The sequence below is a fragment of the Homo sapiens genome, chromosome 11 (genome assembly GCF_000001405.40).
Source record: "Homo sapiens chromosome 11, GRCh38.p14 Primary Assembly".
NCBI lineage: Eukaryota > Metazoa > Chordata > Mammalia > Primates > Hominidae > Homo > Homo sapiens.
In genome coordinates this window covers 72,068,882-72,078,533 of record NC_000011.10, presented here as the reverse complement: position 1 = coordinate 72,078,533, position 9,652 = coordinate 72,068,882, and the positions used below count along the sequence as shown (strand labels likewise).

At 43.4% G+C, this 9,652-nt stretch overlaps 1 protein-coding gene and 1 non-coding gene across 33 annotated transcripts in view; both read left to right on the top strand.

Moving 5' to 3' along the window:
* NUMA1 (nuclear mitotic apparatus protein 1) overlaps positions 1-9,652 on the top strand; it is a 77,679-nt gene that overhangs the window by 2,009 nt on the left and 66,018 nt on the right. For 26 of the 32 annotated variants that reach the window (NR_104476.2, XM_017017830.2, XM_047426997.1 and 23 more), the window contains exon 2: positions 8,623-8,692. The exons of 4 other annotated variants lie outside the window; for them this stretch is intronic. The gene's annotated coding sequence lies outside the window, so the exon portion shown is untranslated. Of the gene's footprint in view, positions 1-8,440; positions 8,548-8,622; positions 8,693-9,652 lie in introns of those variants that run through there. 2 more of the 32 variants (XM_047427009.1, XM_047426996.1) reach the window with 1 other exon arrangement.
* On the top strand, positions 6,232-6,306 carry MIR3165 (microRNA 3165). Its single transcript, NR_036123.1, has one exon. It is a non-coding gene; the product is annotated as a microRNA 3165 (primary transcript).

Genomic DNA, 9,652 nt, shown 5'->3' with positions numbered 1-9,652 from the left:
AAGACTTGAATTCTAGAACTTTTAGGATGAGGGCAAAGCCCTGCTCAGGTGGCTGAACAGAGCTGATCAGGGGCTGTTTGGACAGCTGTGTCTAATTGATAAAACTATGATCAGAAGATATTAGGTTTGTGCAAAAGTAATTGCAGTTATTGCCATTGAAAGTAATGGCAAAAACCACAGTTACTTTTGCATTAACCTAATATATGGTGTGGTCATTTAATTTAGCCTCTTACCCAGTGTACACTAAACATACCAAAAGGTGTTGTCCAGACTCAAAATGAGTACTTTCTAGAATGAGATCATTCCCAAAGTCAATCCATCTCTAAGCTGAACAATTCTAATTGATAATTATTATTTTGTAGCTGGGCATGGTGGCTTGCCCTGTCATCCCAACTACTCTGGAGGCTGAGGCAGGAGGAGCAGGCGGGAGAATGGCTTGAGCCCAGGAGTTCTTAGCTAGCCTGGGCAACAGAGTGAGACCCCAACACAATTAAAATATGTTTATTGTTTTGTATTGTTAGTGATTATTTCATTTTACCCATGTATGTCTACTGTTTGCTTTTTCACTATTTTTCCTTGCATTTTATTCCTTCCTTTTTTATTGCATAGATACATACATCCTTCAGATGTTTGTCCAGTGGGAATCTGTTAGTGGTAAACACTGTCTTCATTTAAAAAATCTTTATTTCACTTTCAGTTTTTTGTTTTTTTTTTTTTTTTGAGATGGAGTCTCACTCTGTTGCCCAGGCTGGAGTGCAGTGGCACAGTCTCGGCTCACTGCAAGCTCCGCCTCCCAGGTTCACACCATTCTCCTGCCTCAGCCTCCCGAGTAGCTGGGACTACAGGCGCCCGCAACCACGCCTGGCTAATTTTTTGTATTTTTAGTAGAGACAGGGTTTCATTGTGTTAGCCATGATGGTCTCGATCCCCTGACCTTGTGATCCTCCCGCCTCGGCCTCTCAGAGTGCTGGGATTATAGGCATGAGCCACTGTGCCCAGCTCACTTTCAGTCTTGATTGGTAGTTTAGCTGGGTACTAGGCTTCCAATTATTGTCTCTTAGCACTTTGAAAGTGTTTTTTCATTGAAATTCTGGCTTTTTGTTGTTACTCTTGAGAACTATGCTTGCAAATTAACTTATTTTATTGTGGGTAACCTGTCTTTCTTTCTGTTTGTTTTTAAGATCTTCTTTGCTGTCATTTGTGTTCTGTACTTCCATTACATGGTGTGAATTTAATTTTCTTAAATCACTATATACTGGGGGCATATAGTAATTCCTTAATCTGAAATTTCATATCTTTTCACTAATTGTGTAAAAATTCCCAATCATTACCTCTTTACCTCTCTCAGATCTCATGCGTAACTTATGTTGAACTTCCTCATTCTGTCGTCTACATCTTATTCTTTCTTTCATAATTTCCATTTCTATCTTTCTGTGTTAACTTCTGGATAATTTCCTTATATCTATCTTCTAGTATACTAGTTTACTCTTCAGCTAGGTCTAATTTGTTTTTTGAATTCTTATTTTTATTAGCTAACTTTTTCATTTATTAGAAGTGCTCTTTGGTTCATTTTCAAATCTGCTTGTTTTTCGTGATCTTGTTTTTGTCTCATGTTTTCAATTTTGTGTCTGTAATAATTTTCAAGAAAGTTGAGTTTTGGCAGATGTCTACACCTGTAAACAGCAGCCATAATCAAGATACAGAGGATTTCTCTCACCCCCAAAAGATTTCTCATGCTTTTTTTTTTTTAAGATGGATTTTACTCTTATTCTCCAGGCTGGAGTCCAGTGGTGCAATCTCGGCTCCCTGCAACCTCTGCCTCCTGGGTTCAAGCGATTCTCCTGCCTCAGCCTCCTGAGTAGCTGGGATTACAGGCATGCACCACCATGCCCAGCTAATTTTGTATTTTTAATAGAAATGGGGTTTCACCATGTTGGTCAGGCTGATCTTGAACTGCCAACCTCAGGTAATCTGCCCTCCTCGGCCTCCCAAAGTGCTGGGATTACAGGCGTGAGCCACCGTGCCCGGCTCTCATACTTCTTTACAGTCCGTTTTTCCTTTCACCCTGATACCAGGAACCACTGATCGTTTGTTTGTTTTTCACTACATATTAATGTCTGCTTCCTAGAATTTTATTTTATTTTATTTTATTTTTTGAGATAGGATCTGTCTGGCTTTGTTGCCCAGGTTGGAGTGCAGTTGCAGGATCTTGGCTCACTGCAACCTCTGCCTCCTGGGCTCAAGCAGTCCGCCCACCTCAGCCTCCCAAGTAGCTGGGACTACAGGTGCACACCACCATACCCGGCAAATTTTTATATTTTCTGTAGAGACAGGGTTTTGCCATGTTGCCCGGGCTGGTCTCGAACTCCTGGGCTCAAGCAATCCACCCACCTCAGCCTCCCAATGTGCTGGGATTACTGGCGTGAGCCACTTCACCCAGCCTGTTTTGAATTCCTAGACGGTTTTTCCCTCCTTTCTCACTAGGTGAGCAAGGCAAGTTTTTTATTTCTCTCTGGACAGATTTTTTTTCCTAGTCTATTATCTTACTGAGTATAAACTTAAGAATCTCAGCCTCTGCACAGGGATCTCAGTGCCTTTTGTGGACTCAAGATCTGTCTTCTGAACCTATGAGGGTGTTACAAATTCCATACACGGCTAGGACAGCTATGTCATCAGCTCGCTAATCCTCCTCACTAATTTGTTTCTGGTTCCTGGGGATTTTTCTTACTTTCTTGAGAGCTCAGTTTATCTATATGTCAGTTCAGATCCAATCAGCAAAACAGAAACCACACAATAGAGTGAACTCCATAAAGGAGATTGATTTAAACCCTTGGTGGAGGGCTGAAAAAGCAGAAAGGGAATATTAAAGTAACTTCAATATAATAACTGCATAAAGAATTTTTCTCATCCAGGACTGAAAAACAAAGGGAGGAAGGTTGGGGCTACCAGAACCTAGAAGTCTAGAGGGATCTGGAATAGCTGTACCCAGATTCTCTGGAGAGGGTGTTACCTGGTGCTGCTGGTTTCTCAGGCCCTTATAGGAGGAACCTGGAGGAGCTGGCTTCTGTTGAGCCTTACTTAGCTGATGCTGGTGCCTTTGAGGGGCAGGAGGCTGGTTTTGGGAGTTTAGAAGGCAACTGGGAAGAACCAACTTCTGTTGTCAAGAAACACCAGGCTACAAGAAGGAGGAAGTCCCTTGTAGCCTTCTCTTGTCTTCTGTTTTCCCCTTAGCACCCCCTGTTGACAGGGATCCAGCTGGCAAATGTGAAATGGGGTTTAGTGGAGTCCAGGCCCCAGCATCACAAAGCGGAGCATAACAGGGTAGATTTGGAGCTGAGAGACAATACCTTAATAGCTGGCACAGTCTAGAAGGATGTTTATTATATTTTTCTGAGCACTTCTAGGCATATTTAGTAGGAAGGGCTTCAGGTTATCTGGTCTGTTTTTTGTATTGTATATTATTTTTATTTTATTTATTTATTTATTTATTTATTTATTTTGAGATGGAGTCTCACTCTGTCGCCCAGGCTGGAGTGCAATTGCACAGTCTTGGCTCACTGCAACCTCCGCCTCTCGGGCTCAAGTGATTCTCCTGTCTCAGCCTCCCAAGTAGCTGGGATTACAGGCACGTGCCACTGCAACCAGCTAATTTTTGTATTTTTAGTAGAGACAGGGTTTGACCATGTTGCCCAGGCTGGTCTCGAACTCCTGACCTCAGGTGATCCACCCGCCTCAGCCTCCCAAAGTGCTGGGATTACAGGCGTGAGCCATTGCACCCAGCCTGTTTGTTATTTTGAGACAGAGTCTTGCTCTGTCACTCTGGCTGGAGTGCAGTGGCGTCATCATAGCTCACTGCAGCCTCGATCTCCTGGACTCAAGCTATCCTCCCACCTCAGCCTGCTGAGTAGCTGGAACTACAAGTGCACGCCACTGTGCCTGGCAACTCTTTTTATTTTTAGTAGAGACGAGGTCTCACTATGTTGCCCAGGCTGGTCTCAAACTCTTGAGCTCAAGCAGTTCTCTCAAAGTGCTGGGATTACAAGCACAAACCACCACACCCAGCCTGGTCTGTTGTATCAACATTTAGTAATAGCAATAGGTAACATTTTTTTTCCAGCGTATATTGTGAACTAGGCACTGTTCTAAGTACTTTACAGAAACTACTTCTTTTTATTTTTTTTGAGATGGAGCCTCTCTCTATCACCCAGACTGGAGTACAGTGGTGTGATTTCTGCTCACTGCAACTTCCACCTCCCAGGTTCAAATGATTCTCCTGCCTCAGCCTCCCGAGTAACTGGGATTACAGGCGCACACCACTACCGTCTGGTTAATTTTTTTTGAGATGGAGTTTCGCTCCTGGTGCCCAGGCTGGAGTGCAATGGCGTGATCTTGGCTCACTGCAACCTCTGCCTCCTGGGTTCAAGCGATTCTCCTGCCTTATCCTCCTGAGTAGCTGGGATTACAGGCATGCGCCACCAAGCCTAGCTAATTTTTTTTGTATTTTTAGTAGAGACGGGTTTCCCCATGTTGGCCAGTCTGGTCTTGAACTCCTGACCTCAGGTGATCCACCTGCCTCAGCCTCCCAAAGTGCTGGGATTACAGGCCTGATCCACCGCAGCCAGCCTCGGAAGCTACTTCTTAAAGCTCTGTGAGCTAAGTTCTATTATTACTATTCTCTTTTACAGGGAAGGCAACTGAGGCACAGGTAGATTAATCTCCCCAAAGCCACACAGTTTATAAGTGGTGGAGTTGACATCCTAATCCAAGCATTCTGGGTTCTACATCCCACATTCTGAACTTCTACAACATGCTGAAATTTCTTCCCTGTGGCAAACCAAAATCAGTCTTCCTGTAACTTCCACTCATTAGTTCTGGTTTTGTATTCTTATAGTGGACTCATAAGTCTTTCTCCTCATCTATGTGAAAGCTATGCGTATATTTGAAAAAAGTTTTCTTGTTCTCCCCTGGCTAAAAGTGTGTAGTTCTTCCTCCATATTTGAAATGATATACTTCTAGACCCTTTGCCATGGTCATTGGTGTTCTTCCTCTGCAAGTCCTCTAACTTTGCTCTTCAAAGGTGGGGCATAGAGTCATCTTCTACTAATGCAGCTTAAGACTGCATTGATGTTTTGGGTAGCTCTGTCAGATTCATGGTTTACTGAGAGTGTGCTTAATAATGGCCTCTCCTCTACCTCCTACTGTGGGCAACTTTTTTTTTTTTTTTTTTGAGACAGGGTCTCGCTCTGTCACCCAGGCTGGAGTGCAGTGGCTGTCTTCCCACCTCAGCCTCCTAAGTAGTGTAGCTGGGACTACACCCGGCTAATTTTTTTGATTTTTAGTAGAGACAAGGTCTTGCTGTGTTGCTCAGGCTAGTCTTGAACACCTGAGCTCAAGCAATCCTCCTGCCTCGGCCTCGCAAAGTGCTAGGTTTATGGGTGTAAGCCATTGTGCCTGGCCTAGGCAGCTTTTTTTTTTTTTTTTTTTTGAGACGGAGTCTCGCTCTGTGTCACCCAGGCTTGAGTGCAGTGGCGCGATCTCGGCTCACTGCAAGCTCCGCCTCCCAGGTTCACGCCATTCTCCTGCCTCAGCCTCCCCTCCCGAGTAGCTGGGACTACAGGCACCCGCCACCGCGCCCAGCTAATTTTTTGTATCTTTAGTAGAGACGGGGTTTCACCGTGGTCTCTATCTCCTGACAGTGTGATCCGCCCGCCTTGGCCTCCCAAAGTGCTGGGATTACAGGCGTGAGCCACCGTGCCTGGCCAGGGGAATAGTTTTGACAATTCCTCTGGCAAATTGGAGGAGGAGCTGTCTAGAAAGGCCAGTATCTTGGGTCTCATTGAGGGGAGGAGAGAACCAAGGTAAAGGGTTGGCTATTAGGTAATCAGTCGCGGTAATAAGGGGCCATTTGGCAGAAGTAAAAATGAGGTATCTGATGGCTGTAGAAGGGAGAGAAGGCATTATTGCATAGCATGCTCCTGGGTTGAGGCCTCTGTTGGCAGCTGTGTCGCCTGCCCTTTCTGTCCTATTGAAGGGCCAGTTTCTTTGAAGTCTGCACAGGAAATACCAGTGATTCAGCCTTGCAGATTTCTTCTGCCTTATTGCAGCTGAGGACTGGTTTATCTGGTGAGGAGGAAAGACTGCATATATTTCAGGCATGTTTATTTGATACTTGAGTGCCTTCCTGTGACTGGCCAGAGACACTTGTTTTGCAGATTGTCAAATTTTTGGTACCCGGTGGCAAGGTGGATGCAATGTGACCTCAACTCTTGGTCCTCTGAGGTCACATTGTATCCACCTTACCACTGGGTACTAACGTGTGGGCAGCAGCTGCATTCTGCCTAGCGAGTGGGCATTTGTTCAGTGCCTGTACTTCTGTGATGGCCTCAATGAGGAGTGAGGTAATTGCCTGCTTTTCTAGATTTCCTGTGGTGTGACAATGTGAGTTTTGGAGAAACCTCTTATTCCCTAAGAATTTCCTACTATACCCCTCATGAGCTGCAGCAAAGTGGACTCTGTCTGATTGCTGACCTCCAAATGCCCAGTTTCCTTAGGTAGTGAGCAGATACCTAAAGTAATGAGTGCCTATTATATCTGTCACAGAGCTGAGTATATAAAAAAGTATATAATACAGGATTTCCCTCCTTACTAAATTATTTTATTTTGAAAATTTTCAAACCTATAGATATTTTGCAAAATAATGTAACAAATACTTATATACTTCTCATTTAGAGTCACTATTAACATTTTGCCAAATTTGCTGTCTATTTATCCTTCATTTTCTGAATCTTTTTGACTGTTAGATGTAAATATCATGTTATTTAATCCCTATTTCAGCAAGTATTTCCTAAGAAAAAGGTATCTTCCTATATAACTACAGTACTATTAACACTCAGGAAACTTAACATTGATTCAATACATCCAGTATATAATACTTGTTCAGATTTCTCATCTTTTCCCAGTGATGTCTTTTATTGAGTTTTTTAAAATTCAGGATTCATTGAAGGATCATGCATGTATTTATGCACTTAGTTGTCATGACTATCATGTCTTTAGTCTGCTTTAACTTTGAACAGTTCTTTTTTAATCTGAATGCCTTTTTGTCTTTCATAGCATTTGTCTGATTCTTCTTGATTAGATTCAGGTTAGGCATTTTTGGTAGAAGAACTATATAGATTAATACAATAGTTTGATTGATGAGGCTGACACTAAAATACATAGAAGCAGTATCTGATTTTGCAAGACAGTATATAATTTAGCACTTATTTGTGTTGTCTAATCTATAAACCCTATAGGAATTTACAGAAGAAGGAATTCAGTAGGACTTGGATAACTAGGAATGAAATACTTTGGCAGAAAGATGGGGTTTGGAAAATGAACAGAATTGGAGGCAGTTGGGATATGGTTAGATAAGCTGTGATTTGGGCTTCCCATCCTACTATTAAGGTTGTGTATCATGAAAAGTGACTTTGAGGGTTCTGTATCTTCCATGGTGTTTGCACTGCTAGAAGCCTAATGGTGTAGAGCTCTTGCTTTGGCATCAGACAGGTCTAGAGACTGTGCCCAGCATTTTGCCAGTTACCTAACCTTGGGGAAGTTTTCTCATTTGCAAGATAGAGTATTAATAACTATTTAAAAGGTTATCGTGATGCTCACAGTGAGACACTACATAAATATTTGAATTAAAATATTTGAATGCCTTTAGGGGGGTGCAGCGTTTCCTAGATCTGCCATGTGCCCCACTGGATCATTCATTTTGTTTTGTTTGGATACGTGGTTTCGCTCTGTTGCCCAGGCTGGAGTCCAGTGGCACGGTCTCAGCTCACTGCAGCCTCCCAAGTGGGTGGGACCCAGGCACACTCCACCACACCTAGCTAATTTTTTGTATTTTTGTAGAGACGGAGTTTTACTATGTTGCCCAGGTTGGTCTGGAACTCCTGAGCTCAAGCGATCTGCCCACCTTGGCTTCCCAAAGTGCTGGGATTACCGCTGTGAGCCACTGGGCCTTGCCTGGATAATTTGTTTCTGTTACCTGCCTGACCCCTGAAGATGTTTGAATTTACCACTCCTGGATAATTGAAAGCAGGGAAATGAGAAAAGGCTTGGCTCACGCAGAGAGAAGTGGGAAGACTGGCTTGATCAATTCAGAGTATATTCTGTAGAATAGTGGGAAATAAGGTTGAATAAATGACTTGAGGCCATATAATGGAGGATTTGGAAAGTTAAGCCAAAGAATTTAGATATGATGCTTTAGGGAGAAGAAAACTGGAAGATTTTTGAGCAGGAGGAGAGACACTTGAAAATGAGAGTGGTGTGGGGCCTCCTGAGGAAGAAGTTTTCTGGCTTAAAGACTGAAATCCTAACAGGGCAGGGCCTTCACAGTGCTGACCAAGTGTGGGTGTGGCTTGGCAGTCTTGCCACAGAAGGCCAGAATTTCTGCCCCAGTGACTCTTCCTGCTCTGCCACTGACTCACCCCGTTGACCTGGCCTGCATGGCTTCCCTTCTGCTTGCTGTCTGATCCACAGAACGCTGGGGTTGCCCAGGATAATGTGAGGCTGAGCTCACTAAGAGTGGGTGGGTTAGGGGAATGAATAATCATTCCTGTCCCTTTGCCCCTTCCCTAGGTGGAAACTAATTCTAAGCCAGACTGCTGGAGATCACCCTGTTCTAGTGTGTGGAGGCTTCCACCAGGAGGTAAGTCAAAATGGTTTCTGCCCTCTAGTTTTTCATAGGTCAGCTTTGTCCTGAGCAGGATCTCTACCATTTACTTTTTCCCTGACCCAGATTCTTCAAAGTGATTGTCTTTGTCTTTCAATTATTTGAGGCAAACAGGTTACTGTAGGAGGAGAGCAGAGAGGTTTAATAAAGATATTTTTCTAACTGTGGGAGGGTGGTGTCCAGAGGTTTTCATTGGCCCTTGCTCTGAGGTAGATTGCCCAGAACTCTTGTGAGCCAGACACTAAACATTGGCCATTGAGGCCACTGCAGAGAAGTCCTGGTTTTTAAGCCATCATTTCTCTGCTACTGGGTTTCAGAACCATTCTTGGTGTGCTTTAGTGTCCCAAGTTATTTCTGTCCCTTTTGATCAGGGGAGTGAAGGAAGTGAGAAGCAGGGGAGGAGGAGCTGTATACATAAGTATGTGTGGGTGCATTATGCTGGGAGTTTGGGTGTCTGGGTTTCTCATCCTGACTGTTGCTAACCAGATGTGTGACCAGGGACAAATTGCCTAACCTCAATGGACTGAACTTTTCTCATATGTAAAAAGGGACAGTTAGGATTATATGATCTTGAAGATTTCTTCCAGGGCCAAAATTTATCATTATATAATGTGTAATTATAAAGTGATATAATAGTTGAACAAATGTGACAGATATTGTACATGTCTTGCCCCCTTGATTGTAATTATGGGGCAATTAGAATGTTTTTAAGTTTGACCCCTTCAAAGTAATTGTGTTCTCAGCCTTTAGATTTCCTTTGGTGATGGTGTCATTGCCTCAGACTGCCTCTGAGCCAATCTTTTGAATATCCTCAGAGGTAGCAAATCTTTACTCTTAGCTTGGTGGATTCAATTTTTAGAAACAGCCAGAAGATGCCGTGAGCCAAAGATTCATGCAAGGCAATACCTTTTTTGGTGAAGGATGAGGTGTGACTAT